Here is a 23,096-nt window from a genome sequence, read left to right as displayed (position 1 = left end):
TTAGTTTTTTCCTTACTCACAGAGAGACTATTAGTTTAAAAAAATACTTAGTGCTAATCATTTATAGTGTCTTTTATTACCTCATTCAAGAGTGAATAACATAATTAATATTCCCCCAACTCTACTAACTTTTAGAAAATAAACTATGCTATTTAATTTTTTATTATTAAAAACCCCCATACTATCATTCTAAGATTAATACTTCAATCAATTTAAAAAAACAAATCAAAGTCTGGAGTTAACTGGATTTTATATCTGAATTAGAGGATAAAATGTAACAAAAGATAGGAGACTATGTTGATATTTGTAGAAAAACAGTACGAACTTCCAGAGATGTTTTAAAATTACGTTTAGCTGCCTCATATATTAAATTTTGTCCCCAAAGAATTGTTCAAGTATAAGGACCTTGGCAGTGCAGAATAGTTAGCAATTGACATGATTCAGTGGTGCTCACTTCCTTAAAACGGTTCAAAGGAACACTTGCCTTTTAGAAAGGTTTTCAGCAACATGGGTTGAAATAACAAAAGCCCTTCAGGGTAAAATTCAGGTTAATGGATGCACTCACATATCTATAATTGTTTGTTTTCTTAACTCTTCAGTTAATTAAGGTTTTGAGACACATCAGTGGTTTACAACTTTCCCTAGAAATTAGTAGAATCACTTGTTGTGAGCCCCAACCCAGATCAATTCAATGAAATATCTTGAAATTTATTGAAAGTTCTTGCTATGTTCTGAATATTTATGTACCCCCAAATTCATATATCAAAATCCTTACTCTCAAGGTGATGGTATTAGGAGACAAGAACTTTGGGAGGTGATTAGGTCATGAAAGTCAAGCTTCATGGATGGGATGAGTGCTCTTATAGAAGAGACTGCAGAGAACTCTCCTGTGCCTTCCACCGTGTGAGGGCACAGTGGGAAAATGGCCATCCGGACCCAGAGGCAGGCTCCCCTCAGACGCCAACTCTACCAGCACCTTCGTCTTGTATGCCCCGCCTCCAGAACTGTGAGAAATACATTGTGTTGTTTATAAGCCACCCAGTCCATGGTATTTGGTGACAGCATATCAAACAGACTCTGGCATTTCTTTAGGTCTAGAAAAATAGAGTAGATATACTTTTTCCTATTTCTCTCACTAAATACAGCTAAAAATGGGACAGTATACATACAACAACCAAGAGAAGACTCTAAAATACGGAGAATAGAAAACATAGCAGTGGGCCAGGCATGGTGGCTCACACCTGTAATCCCAGCACTTTGGGAGGCTGAAGCAGGTGGGATCACAAGGTCAGGAGATCAAGACCATTCTGGCTAACATGGTGAAACCCTGTGTCTACTAAAAATACAAAAAAAATTAGCTGGGAGTGGTGGTGGGCCCCTGTAGTTCCAGTTACTCGGGAGGCTGAGGCAGGAAAATGGTGTGAACCCAGGAGGCGGAGCTTACAGTGAGCCGAGATCCCACCACTGTACTCCAGCCTGGGTGACAGAGCGAGACTCCATCAAAAAAAAAAAATAAAAAGGAAAAAGAAAAAGAAAACATAGCAGTGAGTAGCATGAGAGACCTTGGGGCCCAAGGAGCTGCAGGATAGTTTAGTTTTGTTTTTTTTCTGGGGGGTGTAGGGTCATAAATCCCAGCCTAGGTGCTGGCAAAGATGGAAACCCAGAAATACCAATGGGTACAGAAAAAAGAAGCTTCAATGAGAACTCAAGCCTCTCTCTAGCCAAAGCACCAGGCTAGGGGCAGCCTAGCAAGACAGAACACTTTCAGCCAGTAACTTCTCTGCTCCACATAAATATAGCAGAAAAATCCTGTAGCCCCATCCCTACCCTTACCTTTGACCAAAGCCAAGTGGGGAGCCCAGATTCCCACCCTCGTCAGGCTGTAATGAGGCTCTAGTTCCTCTGCTGGCTTGGTGGTGTCAGAAGAGGATGCCTAGTGGAGAGTTAGGGTTTCACCACTGCTCAGCTGTAACGAGCCCTCTAGACCCCCAGGGAAGGCCATAGGTGGAAGTAACTCCTGCCTTCACAGCCTGGATGACATGAGTGAAGGCCTGGTGGGAAGGAGTACTCCTATCTCCACCTTGTGGTAAGAGCCCATCCTTTGGTGTCAACAGAGGCCAATGGGAAACCTGGATTTCCATCCCACCTAGCAGTAATGAGGTGGCCCTTCCTCTATTGAAGGGGTGTCAGCGTAGGCCTGCTAAGACAGAACATTTAAATAATAGCCAGAGTCTCATAACATGCTATCCTGCATTACATGTCCAGGTTGCAATACAAAAATCACTCATCATAGCAAGAATCAAGGAAATCTCACACCGAATGAGAAAAGGCAGATGCTAACCCTGAGATGGCTGAGACGTTAGGATGGTTTACAAGGGCTTAAAAACATCAAGAGAAATGCTTCAGAGAACAATTATGAGCGTGCTTGAAGTACAGCCATGCATTGCTTACTGACAGGAACATGTTCTGAGAAATGTGTTGTCAGAAGAACATCATAGAGTGCACTTACACAAACCGAGTCCATTGCTCCTGCACTAAAAACCTGCACAGCAGGCTGCTATACTGAATATTGTAGGCACATGTAACACAACGGTAAGTATCTGTGTATCTAAACATATCTAAACACAGAACGAGTACAGTAAAGCTATGGTATATGGTCTTATGAGACTACCATTGTATATGCTATCCATCATTGACAGAAACATTGTTGTGTGGCACATGACTATTAAAAAAAATCACAAGTCTCAGCAATGAAACAGAAAGAGATGGGAGGAAAAAAATTTTTAAATACAATTACTGAAATAAAAATCATAGGCCAGGCACAGTGGCTCACACCTGTAATCCCAGCAATTTGGGAGGCCAAGGCAGGTGGATCATGAGGTCAGGAGTTCAAGACCAGCCTGGTCAACATAGTGAAACCCTGTCTCTACTAAAAATACAAAAACTTAGCCAGGTGTGGTAGCCAGTGTCTGTAATCCCAGCTACTTGGGAGGCTGAGGCAGAAGAATAGCTTGAATCCGGGAGGCGGAGGTTGCAGTGAGCCATGATTGCACCACTGCACTCCAGTCTGGGCGACTGTGCGAGACTCTGTCTCCAAAAAAAAAAAAAAATCATAATAGATGGGGTCAATAGGAGAAGGGAGAAAATAAAGGAAAGAATCATAGAACTGAAAATAAAACAGATATAACCCCAACTCAGTAACTGAAGCCAGGTGAGAGAAGAAATAAACAGAGCCGCAGGAACATGTAGGGCTGTTACAAAAATTCTAACATTTCTGTCACCAGAGTCCTGGATGGAGAGGAAAAGAGAGGGGGCCTGACAAAGTATTTGAAGAAATAATGGCTAAAATGTTTCCAAATTTGACAGAGACATAAAACTCCAAGTTCAAGAAGCTGAGTTAACCCTAAACAGGATAAACTCAAAGAAATCTATACCAAGACACAGTATAAGAGCAACTACTGAAAACTAAATAAAAAAATCCTGAAGCAACAAGATACATCTTTTCTGTAGGAGAAAGCTATTCCAATGACAGCAGATTTCTTATCAAAAACCATGAAGACCAGAAGCTAATGGCACACCTTTGTTTAAGTGCTGGAAGAAAATAACTATCAACTCAGAATTCTACCATCAGCAAAAATATCTTTTGGAATGAAGAAATCAAAATGTCATAAGATAAAGGAAATGTAACAGAATTGGTTGTAGTATACCTACCCTAAAAGAATCACTAAATAAGTTTCCCATAATGGAAAGGAAATAATAAAAGAAGGAATCCTGAAATGCCAGGAAGGTAAAAAGAACAATGAAATGAGCAAAAATATAGGTAAACACAATGGACTTTCCTCTTCTCTTGAATTTTCAAATTATGTTTGGTAGGTGAAGCAAAAATTATAATACTGTCTGATGTGGTTCTCAGTCTATGTAGAGAAAATATTTAAGGAAATTATAAATGAAGGAGGATGAAGGAACTTACAAGGAAGTACATTTTCTACACTTCATTTAAACTGGTAAATTGATGACACTGGGAGAGTGTGATAAGTCATGTATGCATAATATAACACCTAAACCAACCATTAAAAAGTTAATTAAAGAGATGCACTCAAAACTCTATAGATAAATACATATGGAATTCTAAAAAATGTTCAAGTAATCCACAAGAAGGCAGAAAGAATAAAACAAAGAACCCCCACACACACACACAAAATGGAAGAAACAAGCAGAAAATTTAAAAAAACCCAAAGTGGTAGAATTAAGCCCTACCATATCAACAATTACATTAATTGTTAATAGTCTACCTACACTCATTAAAAGACAAACATTGGAAGAGTGGGTTAAAAAAATTGACCCAACTATATGTAAGGGTAATATGCTGAATGAAAAAAGTCAACCTCAAAAGGTGATATACTGAATGATTCCATTTGTTTTATACCTAAAAGTGACACAATTATAGAACTAGGTAACAATTAAGTGACTGTAAGGGTTAGGGATGGGAGTGACTATACAGGGGAAGCATGGTAGACCTTTCTGTGGTGAAACAATAATTCTGTATCTTGATTTTGGCAGTGGTTACGAATGTACATGTTATAGAATGACATAAAACGCTATAGTATAGAACTACTATGCATTGCACCAAAGTCAGTCTATTGAGTTTGATATTGTATTGTAAGGTGTAACCTTTTGGGGAATCAGGGTGAAGGGGCCATGGGATTGCTTTAACTATCTTTTAAACAGTCTGTTATTCTACAAAATATTGTTTAAAATCAGGTGATTTTAATGAGTGCCACTGCTGTACACCATTGTAATTTCAGCATAGTGAACACTAAAGATTTTGGTGCAGAAATAAAGAATCTATAGTGCTCTTGATTTCTTCACATCAGCCTCTTCGTTCATGCTGGGGCTTATTCTTTTCTTGGACTACATGAGAATGCCTCTATAACAGTGGTTCCAAACTTAATGTTCACACTGTAATCAGCTGCAGAGAATTAAAACAAATAAACAAATATCAACAAAACTTATGCATAGGCATCTCCCCTGGAGGTTCTGTTTAATTGGTCAGATGTGTGCCTTAACACAGGGTTTTTTAAAGCTTCCCAGTAGATTCCAGGTGCAGCCAGTGCTGAGGGCCACAGCTCCCTAACCCCAGCACTGCACTGAACAGAGTGTTACATTCATACTCATAAAGGCAGAAGAATCTTGGAAAGTTTTATTTATTTTGGTTAGTGGGGTGTCGGATGTTATTTAATGGTAACTCCTTTTGAAGTATTGTCTTGTTTCCTCTTTTAAGACTTTAATCTTTCTCTTTGGTTTTCTGCATGTTGTCTATGATGTGTTTGGTGTGGATTTCTTTCTTTTTTTTTTGAGATGGAGTCTTGCTCTGTCACCAGCTGGAGTGCAGTTGCATGACCTCAGCTCACTGCAACCTCTGCCTTCTGGGTTCAAGGGATTCTCCTACCTCAGCCTCCCGAGTAGCTGGGACTACAGGTGCGCACCACCATGCCCAGCTAATTTTTGTATTTTTAGTAGAGACAGTTTTTCACCATGTTGGCCAGGATGGTCTTGATCACTTGGCCTCGTGATCCACCTGCCTCGGCCTCCCAAAGTGCTGGGATTACAGGCGTGAGCCACCATGCCTGGCTGGATTTCTTTTTAATGTATCCTGTATGGGGTTAATTTGGTTTGTTGAATCTGTGGATTGATGTCTTGTATTGGGATCTTGATATTTTTCTGTCCTTATCACTTCAAGTATTGCCTCTACTACATTTCCTTTCTCCTTGTCTTCTGTGGGCCAATTCAGTATTTCAGACATTGTCACATTTTGTAACCCCCTGTGACTCTAATTTTTTCCCTACCAATTTTTGGTCCATTTGCTACCTGATTCATTCTTTAGTGTTTCTCTGCTATACTCTATCTCAAAAAATTGCTGACCACTGCAGACTGCAAATTCTAGACTTCTGTGACAGTTAACTTCTAAATAGGTTATCTTTGGCAAATGAGAGACACTGACAGAAAGTTGAAAGGTGAAAGCATGAAGGAAGCCAGACTATTCACCTTCCTTAGGGCACAACTCTGGCAACAACTGCATTTGCCCTTTGCCTGTAGCTCTTGCTGGAAAATATGCTGTGCTTCCATTTTCTGTTGAGTCCTCATGGCCCATGGACTCCAGTAATCCCACATCTTTCCTTTGCTCTCCCATCTTGGAGGAAAGCTGGTGGCTTCCTACTGTTAACTTCTAGGGATCTCACTATCTCCTTAAATTTCTTTAAAAGATATTTAAGAGTGATTTCTGTTTTTCTGGTTGAACCTTTTCTCTTTTTAATATATTTTTAATTCCACTTTTATGATGGATTGAAATTTGCTTTTTACCATCTTTCTGATTCTGTCTAATCAGCTATTGAAGTCATCCACTGAGTTTTTCATTTCAATTATTTTATTTTTCATGTCTAAAATTTGTATTTGGAAAAAATCTGATGTTATTTTTTTATTTTCTACTTTTGCATCCCAAATTTACAATTTAGATCTTATCTTCTTGAACAGAGTGAATGTTGTTATTATAGAATCTTTGATAATTCCAGTATCTGTGGTCCTTGTGGGTCTGTTTGTGTTGCCCGTTGTTTCTTTTGGCTCTTTCTCATGAGGGCTTATGTTCTCATGTGCCACTTATCTTTGATTGTAGGCTTCAAGTTTGTGTTTAGAAATTATTTATAGAAATAGTATGAGGCATAGGATAACTTTATCTTCCTCTGGAGATAATTCTTTTTACTCTTGCCAGGTGCTTTGGGCCACTAATTGTCTGGAATCATCTTATTTTAAGTACTTTGGGCCACTGGGATGATTAGAATTTGACCTGCAGCCCAAGAATAACATGGTTTATTTCTGGTGAATTCTAACTCTCAGGAGGCAGTTCTTTGGAGTTCTAGACCAAGGTAGGGGGTGGTACATCTGGGTTTCTACCATGGCATGACTCAGGCTCTAAGTTGTCTTCCATGGGTACCGTGTAGGCATTAAAAACTCAGCTCAGACTCAGATGTGTCTTCCAGCTAGCACATGCTCCTGGAGCAAAAGTAGACCCACATTTCTGTTATTCCAAGATGTCTGTCTTCATTGTGTCGTTAGCTCTTTGTTGCTTATAAACATAGTCTTTCCTTTTTTGTGTGTTCTGAGGGTTGATCCAAATAATCTAGTCCTCCACTACCCAAAATGGAAGTCCAAATCTTGTTCTTCAATAAAGCATTCACCAAGGTAAGCCTGCACACAGATAAATAATTGAGAATGCAGCATTTGTGTAGCTATTTGAGTCTATTTTGGTGACAGATGTCACAGGAGGATTGGCTTTCTATGAGCCTTGGGCATACACCCTCTGAAACATAACTCTCTGTGAAATGAAGAAGATACTACATGATATCTAGGTCCCATTGGGTTCTAGCTTCATATTATTCTATTATTTTAAGTTGTAAAATATTTCAGTTGTGCTATAAACCTATGGAAGCTTCAGGAAGATCCTAAAGATAAAAAATACAAGTAACTTCTAGATTGCATAGTGTGGCATAGTACACATGTTTACAGTCTCTCCTGTATGGAATAGAATGCTATACCTAAATTTGAAATGACCCCATGTCCTGAACTATGCAACACAGTTGACCCTCTGGCCTCCATTCCTAACTTCCCTTTTAACTACATGAAATTCATGCTTTTCCCAATATTCTATTCAGATCTGGCTGAACATATACCACAAGCTTTACGCCAAAGAATACTTTTTCGTAGTTCAGTGATAGCAAGAGAAAATAAAGGATTGACTTGATATTAACCCATATGGTCAGTTTATTGTGAGCCATTAAGAAAGAAGTATGTTTAGAGCAGCTGGGAATGAGCTAAATGTGGGCTGAAGAAGTCCAGGCAAATGTCCAAACGAGCATTAGGTGTACGGAAAATCAGGGAGGCTCCTTTCTGCTGAATCAATTGCTGTATCCGGGTTACATTCCTTTTATGGTTCTTCAAATTTATGCAGAAGTTAATTTATTTAAGCCATTTAGAACACTCAGTTTGAGGTAAGCTGGTTTTCTCAAATGTCTCTAACCAAATCCTAATCTACCTGGCATGGCTTTTCTTAATACATGTGGCATCTTCTTTCTTTCTTTCTTCAAAGAAAAACATGACATATTCAGCAATTTCAAGGGAACACTGTGGTTGAGAAGCTAATGGAGAAGCTGCCTCAGACACACAGCTGGCTAACCCCAAGATATTTCGGAAATGGTCCATATCCATAATAACAAATGTGGCTGTTCAGTGATAAATTTACTCCTCCATCTGCGAAGAAATTGATATCTGATGCCAAGGCTTGCTGACCTCTGCTTTCATTGCCAACTTCCAGCCTTGTTTCAAGAACACTGTGTTAAACTGTACAGCAAATTTCTAACTTTCAAGACTGAGGATTCCAGCGAGCACATTTTAAGCTTCACTGTAGTTTGAGAGTGTATTTCTTTCTTTTTTTTTTTTTTTTTAAAGCCAGCCTATTATAGACTTCACTTTGTATGGGAGCAGTTTTAGCCAGTCAGCAATCTTGCCTCACATTCTTTCCTTAAGAAAGTAACTAACTAGTGCTGCTATTCCTAGAATAAAGAGGGGATTGAAAAGTACAGTCACAGCAAATAAGGCAGGTAGCAGGGAGAGGAGAGAGGTGGGTGATACATTAAGAAGGAAAACTTTCTGCTAGCCATCATGCCCCACGCTGTTGTGTATAATTATTAGCTGCAAAATAGCACAGCTTGAACATTATTATTGCACATTAAAAAACATTTCACTTATAATTATGGAACGAAAATAAGCATTTACAACTCACCTACCGCAGCATTAACTTTGTGTATGTAAGAAAATATTTTAAAAACCTCTTCATTAAAAATCTGCAAATAGGTGACTTCTTTTTCCATCTCATGGATCCTTTCTCCTTTTTTTTTTTAACTGACAAAGTGAGTTACATCTTAAACTTTTCTTTTAATTAAAAAGCAGAACAAAACTGTAAGGGAGGCAGAAAACCAAACCAAGAAAAGGGGGTGGTCTGTGTGTTTGCCAGGTGAAATAAATATTTGATAAATTAGGTGGATTTGGAAAGTGAAAGGTAAGGCAAAAATACGTTCTTTAACAGTAGTAGAATAACCACTGATGTTCAGAAGCAAAAACAGATTATTTGTTTCTGATTGGTGTTCATAATTTTTGAAATAGAAAATACTGTGAAAATCCATATATGTCAGCAATGGTATAAACTCTGTCAGTAATATTTCAAGATCTATGGAGGTAGAATTTAACTGTTCCATGCAAATCATTTTGCCTGGTTTTTGGATAACATCTTCCATTTATCGAATCTCTAGACTGTTGGACCTGTCTCTCCATCTCTGTGTATGTGTGTTTGTCTATGTGTTTTATACCACTTGTGTATAAAGACATCCTTTCAGTTAAACACATTTGGCGAGGGACTCATGTCTCAAAGTGTACTAGGCTCTAGGGAAGCCATTAAGAATATATTAAATAGAAGCATTTATTTAGATGCTTTGTCCAAAGCACGGATTGTGAGACAATTCAGGTGTTTTAGCACCAGCATGAAGTTCAAAGGTGAAGAGCAGGTAACAACAGAATGCACCATTGCTCTCTCCAGTCCAGGACAACACCCACACACTCACATACACACATATATACTCTTGTTTGATGTATCTTGCTCCCCATGGTTTAAATACCCTGCTTCCAGAATACTCTATGATATGCCAGTGTTTTCCTCAGTGTTCCTCGTGACAGCAATGGCTGTTATGTAAGGAGAGATTCAGTGATAAAGTCAGTTTGAGACATAGGATATTGTTTCTGATTCACAGCATGTTCTGTTGTATAACAAGCTCTCCAAACAGTTGAGCACTAAAGGATTCAATGTGGCTGGCAAACCTGTCTGCAGAGCACCCATGGTCTTTAGAAACGCTCCTCTAGGGTTTAGACCACCAATCCGGTACCAAAGTTCTGGGGTCTGGGTTTCATTCTGTGCCCACAGAGTCTCCCCTCATTTCTTCTTCTAAGGCGTGGGGCGTTCCGGACGCGCAGATCCAGCCACCACCCCGCTGTCTGCAGGGCTAATGCCATTTGAAAAAGGCCTTTTCCCTCTTAGACAAGAGGAAACGCTAATGAGAAGCTGTCCTGCGTCCTTCTCCCAGGGCCTCCTCTCCGCGAATTCCCTCTGAGCAGGTCCGTGGCTGCTTGTCCGTGCCTGTGTTTTCAGAATCCAAAGTCCTACCTTATTCTTGACCCAGCACGTTTAGGTGCTCACCTTCCGAACGGGCTGTGCTCTCCTATATGAGTCTCTCCAAGGCGCCAGCACCCTGGGATGAACGAACATGTGGAAATAAACGAGTGCCTTTCTCCTGACAGGGTGGGGAGAACACTGGCTGTAGAGTCAGAGGATCCGAGTCAGGAGCGTCTCAGTCCCCTCAGACTGCCGTAACAAAACACCAAAGACTGGGTGGCTCACTAACAACAGAAATGTATTCCTCACACGGCTGGAGGTCCAAGATCAAGGCGCTGGCAGATCTGGTTTCCAGGGAGGGCCGGCTCCTCCTAACTCTGCCTTCTGGCTGTGTCCTCACATGATGGAAGAGGCAAGGCAGTGTTCAGGGGCCTCTTATCAGGGCACTAATCCCATTCACCGGGACTCTGCCCTCATAATCTCATCACCTCCCAAAGGTCCCCGCCTCCTAATCCCATCACACTTGGTATTAGAATTCCACATCTGAATTCTGGGGAAACACAGATGTGCAGACGACAGCAACTGAGAATTACCATTTGGATACCTCTTCTTGTGTGCTAAAAACTGAACGAAGCACTCCAAAGATTTCATTTCACTTACTTCTTGTAAAAACCCCTCCCTGTGAGATAGGCATCACCCTCTTCACTGTACAGATGAGGAAACCTAGGTTCAGGAATATAAAACGACTTATTAAAGACATGGGGCTGGCAATTGTAAGAGCTGTCTCGGTGGCTTCCCTGATGTCACTCTGCCTCTAAGTACTGTGGCTCTGAGCATCTCCTGGGTTGTAGAGGTGAATTTATTAGATCTGAGGCTGAGTTCCTCTTCTCTCATAGGGAGGTGACTCCCCCACCCCACTCTGGTGCACTGAATCCCTTGCTAAGGCTGTGGGAGCAGTTTGAGTCTGTGACTTCCAAATGTCTTCTACTGCAGAGCATTCAAAGGGTCACGTGGCATTTTAATCTGAAGGTCTTTGACTGTCAGCAACTATTTTTCAGCTGTACTTAGATCTTCATTACATGATTTCCAGCCCTACTGGGGAGACAGGACTTTCATACAGAGAAGTTCTCAGGAGCTGTGGGAGGCAGTCTGAAAGCTGTGGTGCTGTGCTGCAGACGGTAGAGGCAGCAAGAGTCAGGAGCAGGAAGATCTGTGCCTGCTGCAGGAATGATGTGACACGGGGGAGGAGGCCGTGTCATCTTCAAGAGGCTTCATGCATGGTGCTCACTCTAATGTGTTCCAGACTCAGCATCTGTACTCTCAGTAAAATTTCCACATGTAAGTCAAAGCATTGCATTCAGCAAAAAAATATTATTTTGGCAAAGTCTTGAAGAGATCTACACAGAACAACCCACTTGGCTGCTCCAGGAAGTGTGTGGGAGCTCTGTACAGAGGGCCAACCATTATTTTAGCCAGAGCCTCATTGTGCCCTGACCTCTGGGATAACTGGTGGCTCGGTGGTAAACACTCAATAACTTCGTGTAATGGATGAATCAGAATTGGACTTCCACGCTGCCTTTCAGTGACCTATGAGTGCGATGTGGGGGAAAGAATCACCTTCCTGGCTAGATAAGGTCAGACACCTGTGGTTATGGGCCGACCACCCTGTGGTTGGAAAGCAGCGAGTCATTTTCACATATTTCACTGGAAAATCAATTATACCTTTTCTAAGTGGATTAACACACTCCAGGGAGTGCAGTTGTTTGAGCGAGCTGCATCTGTTGGGTTACAAAAACAGCCAAACAGGCAACATTAGAGGTTTCTAAATTATGCAGAGGACAGCCCTCTGTTCCAAAAGGGAAAGAATCCAAGGCAGAGCTGCCCCGTATTGGCTCTGACCTGAGAGAGGGTGAAATGCAGGTGAGAGTTGCTTTCCAGACAGCACAGGAATGGGCTGTTTTTGGTGCCTCGGTTTTCTACCCAAATGTTGTCAACCAAATTCTCAAGAAATTGGAATTATCTATGCACAATACAGAGTAGTTCATATATATATATATACATGTATATATATATATACATATATATGTATATATACATATACATATATATGTATATGTATATATACATATATATGTATATATATGAAAACCCTAAGAACTAGATCCCAAATTAGAAAACATTAGCAAAAGAAAAACATGCAAATACACTCTCCTGTTTGTCACTCATCAAGCCAAAAATTCAGTTCATCTTTCCCTCTAAACTTTGTCCCTCCTGTTTTGTGTCCACACATTTAACCAATTTAACCAATAGCCCAAGTTAGAAACTCAGAAGTTGTCTTGGACTCCTCAGCCTTTTCTCACCCAGTTTCCACCCTCATCCAGCTAGTCGCCAACTTCTGCGGCTCCCTTCCCAAGACCTGTCTGCTCCCTCCTTTCTACTCCACTCCACTAAGGGGATCTCCAGTTCTGTCTTCATTCCTGAAGAGCCCGTGGTCTGCTCGCCTTGCTCCCGCTTTCCCTTTCTGCCTGTAGCTAGAGTGAACTTTACAAAATATAAGACTGACCCTGTCCTCTGCTTACTTTGAAAGTCTCTTGTGCATTCTTTTTGCTCACAGGATGAAGTCCAAAGTTCTTGCTGATGTTTAAAATCCCCAGCTTGATTTGGCCTGTCTTTCTGTCACTGTAGTTTTGCCTTTTCTAGAATTTCTGCATCACTTCAAAACATTTTTATTTTGCAATTGTTGTGTAGTATTTAATAAAAGTTGCTAAAGTACGACAGAGCGTTCTCCCATACAGGCTCCCTCAAAGTAAGTGTCTTACATACGCAGCGCACAATTTTGAAAGCCAGGCAATTAACATTGATGCAAACCTATTTTCAAACCTTATTAGAATTTTGCCAATTTTACAACTAATTTCTTTTCTCTGGTCCTAATCTAGGATCTGATGGGATCCAGGGTCCCACTTTGCATTAGCCTTCCTGTCTCCTTAGTCTCCTCGTATTAGTGGGGTCCCTCAGTGTCTTTCACTCATGAGCTTGACACTTGAAGAGCATGGGCCAGTTATGTGGTAGAATATCCCTCAATTTGGGTTTGTCAGATGTTTTCTCTGGATGAGACTGAGGTTGCCGGAGGCAGTGTGTCCTCCTCAGGGCAGCGCAGCAGGAGGACGTGATGTTGGTCTTTCTCACTCCTGCTGCTGTGAACTCTGATTGTTTGGTTAAGGTGGTGTCTGCCAGGCTTTTCCACTGTAAAGTTAGTCTTTCTCTGAGCCGTTATGAAATATTTCAGGAGGAGAGATGTGGGCATTATGTTAACATCCTATTTCTCATTATACTTTCACTCAGTAATTTTAGCATCTGCTATGCCTGCAATGTGCTGTTTGCCTATTGATGGTTTTCTAGTTGCCTCCTTCCTCTGTCATTGATAAACTGGAATTCTGCCCTAAGGAGAATTCCTTCTCCTCCATTAACTTACTCAGTTATTTATGTCACTACGAACTCAAGGTCTTTATTATTATTTTATTTTATTTTATTTTATTTTATTTTTGAGATGGAGTCTCTCTCTGTTGCCCAGGCTGGAGTGCAGTGGCGCGATCTCCGCTCACTGCAAGCTCCGCATTCCGGGTTCACACCATTCTCCTGCCTCAGCCTCCCGAGTAGCTGGGACTACAGGCGCCCGCCACCACGCCCGGCTAATTTTTTGTATTTTTAGTAGAGACAAGGTTTCACTGCGTTGGCCAGGATGGTCTCAGTCTCCTGACCTCTTGATCTGCCTGCCTCGGCCTCCCAAAGTACCGGGATTACAGGCGTGAACCACCGTGCCCGGCTTCATGGTCTTTATTTTATCCCACAGGTTATGATTCATTCCTATCATTTGTATTGTTTTTCCTCAGATTGTCCCAGATTTGTCCAGGGAGCTTCTCCAAGTTGGATCTTACAGGACTTTATAATTTGAATGGGTGAGATTGACCACAGATGTGATTAACTGAGCGCTACAGTTTCACATGGAATTGCACTTCAAAAACAAATAAACAACAAACAAACAAACAAACAAACAAGAAAACAGCCCAGAATTCTTTGTGGGAAGTGTTTCTCTAGAATTGTAAAAGAGACTTGTAACTGGCTATTAGCTAATGGCAGAACACTCTATGAAGACCTTCAGAACATTCTAGACTTTCTGGGAGGTTTGTTGTCCTTCTGTTGTGTCCTCCCATCATGTGGCAAGGAGAAAAATAAAAGAAATTTTGCACAGTCTCCACAGAACTGTGTTTTCGTTATCGCTAATTATTATTGGCATTATAATTACATTTAGGATGCTTTCCAAAGAGGATAATTTATTAAGCATTCAAAGCATTAAAGCATTTTGGCTTGAAAAAGTTCATATGTAAACATGTATATATGATCTACCTACATACATTCACATATGTGCTATATATAAAGAACACACACAGACACACACACACATAAAGCAAGAAACATACTCTCTGTGTGCCCACTACTCAACTTAAGGAATAGAACATTACCAGTACTGCTTATCCTTTTGTATACCTTTTGTGATTCTATTGCTCTTACCTTCTGTGTAAGGGACTACCCACCATACTGAATTTTGTTAATTTTTCTTTTCTTGAGTTTTATTGTCTTCTCTCCCTCTGTTTTTGGAGAATTGTCATACACTTAAGTTTAGGTTAGCTTCCAACATTTCATTCTGTGTACTTTCATTGTTGCAAAATATGTCTGCAAGTTTCTCTTTTGTTTGTTTAAAACATTTTATTTATTTATTTAGATTCAGGAGGTACATGTGCAGGTTTGTTATATGGGCATATTGCATAATGCTGAGGCTTGAGCTTCTATTGATCTCATCACCCAAATAGTGAACATAGTACCTGATAGGTAGTTTTTAAAAACAGTTTCCTCTCTTCCTCCCTCCCCTCTCTGGTAGTCCTCAGTGTCTATCGTTCCCATCTTTATGTCCATGTGTACCCAATATTTAGCTCTCATTTGTAAGTGAGAACATGGTATTTGGTTTTCCCTATCTGTGTTAATTTGCTTAGGATGATGGCCTCCAGCTGCATCCATGTTGCTGCACAGGACATGATTTCGTCATTTTTTATGGCTGCGTAGTACTCTATGGTGTATATGTATCATATTTTCTTTATTCAATCCACTGTTAATGGACACCTAGAGTGATTCCATGTCTTTGCAATTGTAAATAGTGCAATGATAAACATATGAGTGGATGTATTTTTTTGGTAGAATGATTTATTTTTCTTTGGGTATATACCCAATAATGGGATTACTGGGACAAATGATAATTCTATTTTTAGTTCTTTGAGAAACTGTCAAAGTTCTACAATTTCTTTTGATGTGAAACTTTTCACTGGCATCTATTCCTCTGAGATATCTTCATCACGATCTCTTTCCTCATTAATGTTCATTAGTGACCTTCACTAAATTCCTCTAGTCTTTCAAATGATGGTAGTGCCAACACTCTCATGGTCGGTTATCTTCTAATTACATCTAATTTTACACCTAGTGTTATTATTTTTGTTTCTTTGCTGCATATAGTAGGCTGAATAACAGCTGCCCCCAAAATGTACACATCCTAATCTCCAGAATGTATGACTATTATCTTACATGGCAAAAGAGCCTCCGCAGATGTGATTAAGACAAGGATCTTGAGATAGGAGGAGATCTGGGGTTATCTAAGTGGACCTGATGGAATCACATGCATTCTTATGAGAGAGTGGCAGGAGATAAAAGAGAGGAGGAGATGTGAAGACAGAGCAGAGACTGAAGTGATGTGGCCATGAGCCAAGGAATGCCAAGGCAACCTCTGGAAGCTGGAAGAGGCAAGGAATGGATTCTCCCCAGAATCAGCCAGACCCAGAAGCAGTCAGACCTGCCCACACCTTGATTTTAGCCCCATAAGATTTGTCCTAGACTTTTGATCCCTAGACCTGTAAGAGAATAAACTCATGTTGTTTTAAGCCTCTAAGTTGATGGTCATTTGTTACAGCAGTAATAGGAAATGAATACACCACACTTTGATCTTGCAAAATTTCCTCTTCCATTGTCCATTTTTTGTAAGATGTCATGTGGGTTTATCATGGAGAGAGGAGGAGGCAACTGAATGCTTTTCTTTCTGTGCATGAACTGAATAACAGAGTAGCAGTGACTAGTTTCTAGCAGACTTTGAAATAAGTGACAAGATTGATCACTGTTCAATATGTACATCTGTTCTTTATATGGTGATCTGTGGATTAAAAAAATGGCAGCACAATTGGCACTCTATTCAGTTACTTATGGTAGATAAGCCCTGGAAACTGAAATTTGAGCTGTGTTGTTGGGGGATAGATTTTATTTAACAAAACCATGGTAACTAAAATGTGTTCATATGAAAAACATTTCAAGCAGGAAGTGTCTGTATTCAGACAAACATTAACAATTTCCTATACATACATAAATATGACATGTCTACATATATATGTATTTATAGGTAATTGCTAACCTTACCTGTTATTTATATAGGTAATTATATACTTATTTATATAGGTAATTGTTAACCTAATCTTTCGACAAAGATTTGTAATTTTCTTTATCAAATATTGAACATTTTTTGCTTAATCTATTTCTAGGATTCATATGTTTTTGTTAATATTTTAATGATGTCAACTTGGGTTGAGTAACTCTATCAGCACCATTTTCCAATAGCACGTGCTCTCTTTGGGCCTCTGTGTTGCATTTTTGTAATTCTCGCAATATCTCAAACTTTTTCACTATTATTATATCTGTTACTATGGAGATCTGTGATCAGTGATCACTGTTGTTATTGTAATTGTTTTGGGGTACCACAAACCATGCCCATATAAGATGGCAAACTTAGGATAAATGTGATGTGTGTTCTGACTGCTCTATCTACTGGCTGCTCTCCCATTTCATTCTCTTTCCTGGGGCCTCCTGAGTGTTTAAGTAAAAGGAAGAATCTCATGTCCCTCACTTTAAATCAAAAGCTAGAAATAATTAAGCTTAGTGAGGAAGGCAGGTCAATAGCAGAGACAGGCTGAAATCCAGAGCTCATGTGCCGGTTAGCTAAGTTGTGAATGCAAAGGAAAAATTCTTGAAGAAAATTAAAAGTGCTACTCCATTGAACATATAAATGTTAAGATAGAAAACCAGGCTTATTGCGGATATGAAGAACATTTTAATGATGTGAATGGAAGATCAAACCAGCTATAACATTTTCTTAAGCCAAAGCCTAATCCAGAGCAATTCCTCAACTCTCCTCAATTCTATGAAGGTTGAGAGAGACGAATAAGCTGCAGAAAGAAAGTTTGAAGCTAGCAGAGATTGGCTCATGAGGTTTGAGAAAATAAAATAAGCCACCTCCATAACCTAAAAGTCAAGGTGAAGCAGCAAGTGCTGATGTAGAAGCTACAGCAAGTTATTTGGAAGATCTAGCTGAGATCATAGATGAAAGTGGCTCCACCAAACAACAGATTTTCAATGTAGATGAGACAGCCTTCTATTGGAAGAAGATGCCTTCTAGGACTTTCATGACTAGAGAGAAGTCAATGCCTGGCTTCAGAACCTCAAAGGACAGGCTGACTCTCTTGTTAGAGGTAAATGTAGCTGCTGACTTTAAGCTGAAGCCAATGTTCATTAACCATTTCTAAAATCCTAAGAACCTTAAAAATTATACTACTCTACTCTGCCTGTGCTCTGTAAATGGAATTCAAAGCCTATATGACAAAACATTTGTTTACAGCATGGTTTATTGAATATTTTAAGCCCACTGTTGAGACCTACTGCTCAGAAAAAAAAATTTATTTTAAAATACTACTACTCATTGACAATGTACCTGGTTACCTGGGAGCTCTGATGAAGATGTACTAAAAGATTAATGTTGTTTTCATGCCTGCTGACTCAACATGCATTCTGCAGTCCATGAATCAATGAGTAATTTTGATTTTCAAGTGTTATCATTACAACTGTATTAGGTTATAATATATTATGTATAATGATAACTATGTTATCATTATAAGTGTATTATGATATCAAGTGTTATCACAATACACTTCATAGGGCTACATAGCTGTGATAGTGATTTCTCTGATGGATCTGGGCAAAGTAAACTTCTGGGAAAAATTCACCTTTCTAGATGCATTAAGAACATTCGTGATTCATGGGAGGAAGCCAAAATATCAACATTAACAGGAGTTTGGAAGAAGCTGATTCCAGCCCTCATGGATGACTTTGTGGGGTTCAAGATTTTAGTGGAGGAAGTAACTGCAGATGTTGTAGAAGTAGCAGGAGAACTAAAATTAAAAGTGAAGCCTGGCGATGTGTTTGAATTGCTGCAATCTCATGGTAAAACTTGAACAGATGGGGAGTTGCATCCTATGAATAACCAAAGAAAATGGTTTCGTGAGATAGAATCTAATTCCGGTGAAGATGTTAGAACATTGTTAAAATGGCAATCAAGGATTTAGAATATTACATAAACTTAGCTGAGAAAGCACTGGCAGGGTATGAGAGGATTGACTTCAATTTTGAAAGAAGTTATCTGGTTAAAATATTAAAGAGCATTGCATGTATAGAAAAATCTTTCTTGAAAGGAAGAGACAATCGATGTGGCAAACTTCATTGATGTCTTAGTTTTAAAAATTTCCACAGCAGCAACCACCACCCTGATCAGTTGGCAACCATCAGAGTCTAGGCAAGACCCTCCACTGGCAAAAAGATTACAACTCGCTGAAGGCTCAGATGATCATAAGAATTTTTAACACTAAAGTATTTTTAAATTATGTAATGCTATTGCATACTTAATAGGCTGTCATATAGTGTAAACATAACTTTTATATGCACTGGGAAAACAAAAAATCTGTGTGACTCGCTTTGTTGAGATAATCACTTGATTGCAGTGGTCTGGCACAGAACCTGTAATATCTTCAAGATATGCCTGCAGTTGAATTACCTAGTCTAATCTCACATACACTGCCATTTCATGGAGAGTTCAGTCCATTTATGCTGAGTTTGAGTTGTGGTATATTCAGATCTGCTTCTCTGTAGTACTTTAAAATGTTTACACATCCCTTTTTTTGTCTTTCCTGATTTTGTTGTTTTGATTTAGATTTTCCTTATCCCTCTCTTGTTTTTCCTCTACTGGTTTAATATAGTGGCATTATATATATTATATATATATATATATATGAAATAGTGTATATATAATATATAACTTTATATATTGTATATATAATTGTGTATATATGCATATACAGTATATATATGTATAATTATATATATAGTATACATAGTGTATACATACCTAATATAGTGGCATTATATATATTATATATTTAATATAGTGGCATTATATCTATTATATATATTATATATGAGCGTGTGTATGTATAAATAAGTATATATTGGTATTCCATTGAACAGTTTAACATGTATATTTAACCTAAGGAAAATCTAATGTTAGCTAATACCTTTTCTTTTATCTCCCAAAACATAAGAATTTATGAGATATTTGAATTAAATTACATGCTTTTATTCATTTCTGTACTCCTAGTTCCAGAGTGCCTTGTATACATGATTAACAAAAGCTTGTTGAATAAATGCATTAAGATATTTATAGTTTATTATAGATTGACTCATATTTAGCCATGTTCCTGAGAAGTTCCCATGAAACTTGGGATATCGTCACTACAGGTGATTTGTTTATTTTGAAAATCAAATGTTGTGTTAGAATGTTTCACTGGAAGATTAAGTATACTGATTATAAAGCTTATATTTTTATCTAGATACAAGAAATATATTGTTGATTTCAGTTTGTCACAATGGAGACCTAAGTGGCTGTTGAGTGTTCATTGCTTACAATACGGTATTTAGCCCTTGTTTCCAGAAACTTGGAGTGAAATAAGATCTTGAGAGATATTCTCTGGTAACTCCTGCTTGTGAGTCTGTACAACTTTGGGCAAGACTACCTTTTCCCATGGAGGAAGGAAAGAGAATGGAATTCAGCAGCCATTGCGCTCCCCTTTGCCTCATCCCCACTTCTCAGGGCTGGAATAGAGTAGGAGAGGCATGTCTCATCCTCAGGCCTCCTCCCCATGGAGGCCCCAGCCAGCATCTGGGCCCCCATGACCTGGAACTTGGTGTGATTTGGGGCTCATCTGTCTTGCTGCATGCCTAAGGCTCATCGTGCAGAAAAGCTCAACACAAGAAACAATAACTCTCAAGAGTGTTGCAATTTAATATTGGTGTAAGTACATCTTTAGGGCTGTGTTTAGCTCCCATCCTGACCCATCTGAAGACTGTTCTAGGTCTTCCAGGTCATGGAGATGCTGCCCTTCTTGGAATTTCCTTACTCTTAGCGCTCACAACTTGCCGTGGTTTTCCCAAAGCTTTCTGGTGTTAGCTCTGAAAGTTCTGTCTCTGGGACCTTCTCACTCCCTGGCTGGCCATCCCTACTTATTGTCTCTGCCATTTCCTTAAGACGGGAGCACAAAGCCTTGCTCGATTCCTCATCTTTAGGCTGGGTTTCATTTCTCATAGGTGAAGCTTTCTCTCTGCCTCTTCTTTTCTATTCTGGGGGCAAGGTGGAGAATGCGGGGAGGTTCAGAAGAATATGAAGTTGTGCTTTTCATTACCTGGTCCTCCTTCCCACACAACACCCACATTCACTCTCCAGTCCCACCTCAGGGAACCCCTTATTGTGAATCTTGGCTGCTTAACCACTGAAGGATGCTGTCCTCCACACCGTGCCTGGTCCTGGGGAAAGCTTTGGATAGACTGGGCTGGCTGAGAGGCATGGGGACCTGTGTCTGCCTTTCTTACCCCCACACACCCACCCTCTTAGCATCTTCATTTACTCTGCATCCAAACAGACTTTCTGTTCTCACCTCTTTTTGATCTTTTCTCACCTTCCGTCTAGCTAAGTAGGACGCTCGGTGCATTTACTTCCTTTAATATTAAACTAATTTTCTAAGAGTTTATGCCAGTGTTAGGCATTGTCCTGGTTACTAGGTATAGAAGACAAAAATCTGCACAACTGTATCTCATGGGAAAGGCAGGGATGGAAACAAACACCAAGAACGTGATAAACATTGTGAAAGAGATCTATAGAGTACGGGAACCAGGAATGTTCTATGAGGACAGAAGTGATGCCTTATACTTCTTTTTCCATCTCAATTCTTGCACCAAGCAAAGTATCTTAAACAAGATAGGTACTTCATAAAAATTCCTGATGAGTAAAATAGTTGGAGTAGATGTTCTTGAGATCAATCTTGTAATCACATATTTAAAAAAGTTGAGCAGTTTGACTAATTTAAAAACCATTTATGAAATACCAATATGATGGTTTTGTTTTTGCATCAGACTATTAAATATGGCTGTGAAAGGGATTTGATATGATTCTACAAGTAGCACGTTGGGTAAGCACCAAATACTTGCTTATGGAGGTTGCAAACATATCCCGTATTTCCTCAGGTTGGCTCCTGGCCTATTCTGCATTTGCTATTTGGACTAGCTTTATGTCTTAATTAATGATCCAATAGAAAGAGCTAAAACAAAAACTTCATGAATTTTGCAGATGGTACTGAATAAAGAGATATTACTAATTGGAATAAAGAGTGGTAAGCATTCAATTGCCTTAAAGATGTTGGAAATACAGAAAATTTTAAAATATCAAACAAAGGTCAAACTTCTGTTTGTTAGAAAATGAACTAAAGAGGTTTTAGAAGTAGAAATACCAGAAAGAGAAAACATGAAACAGCAGGAAATTTGGTATTGGTCTAAAACATCACGGTAATGAAATTAGTTATACATAATTTTATATAAAATGATATTTTACAATGTATCATATGCATGCTTTTGAAATAATCTCACAGATTTTATTTTAATCTAAAATTTATTTTATTGGATAATCAATGATAAATCACTGGACTGAACTGTTATCTTGGGAGTGATAAGTTCTAATTTACAATTTTTACTTTTTTATTTTGACATATTATAGACTTTCAGAAAAGCTGTACAAATAATTCATAGCATACCTATATGTCCCTCTCCCAGATTTCTCAAAGGTTAACATTTTATCATGTTTGCCTTTTCATTCTCTCCCTCTCTCTCTTTCTATATATATTTTTAAACCATTTGAAAGGAAATTGCAAACATTGTTCTCTTTTACCCTTAAATACTCCAGGGTTCTGCACTCAAAACAAGAACATTCTGTTATAAAAACATGGTACAAGTATAAAAGTAAAAAATTAACATTAGCATTATACCATCAGCTATCTAGTCTGCAGATCTTAATTCAAATGCTACCAGTTTTCCTGTTAATGTTCTTTTAAGGAAAAAAATTCTAGGGCCAAAAGTTGTGCAGTGTTCAATCATTAGGGCTCTTTCCACTGCAAATGTGCGGTGGTGCATTGGTTTTCCCATGACTGTTAGGACCTTGATATTTTTGGTGAGCACAGGCAATTTGTTTTATAGAATAAATCTTGATTTGGTTTTGTCTGATGTTTCTCATGATTATAATCTATTTTTTAAATACCACAACAATAATGTTTTCAAAGTATATTATATCAGGAGGCACATGATGTTAGATGTCCCATTTCTGGTGATGTTATGTTGATTACCTGGTTAAGGTGAACTCTACAAGTTCATATACTGTAAAGTTACTATTTTTTTATGGCAAAGTTACTTTAAAGGTTCCGTTTTTACGTTTGTAATCTGTGTCTTATGGGGAGATACTTTGAGACCATGTAATTGTCCTGTTACTCATTAAACATTCAGCATGGGTTTGTATCCACTAGAGGCTAAGTCATGAGTGATTGAGATATTGCTGTGATGGTTGCCAAATGGTTATTCATACCCCATTCAT

This window comes from Homo sapiens, chromosome 18, assembly GCF_000001405.40.
Source record: "Homo sapiens chromosome 18, GRCh38.p14 Primary Assembly".
NCBI lineage: Eukaryota > Metazoa > Chordata > Mammalia > Primates > Hominidae > Homo > Homo sapiens.
This window is presented reverse-complemented; position numbering follows the sequence as displayed.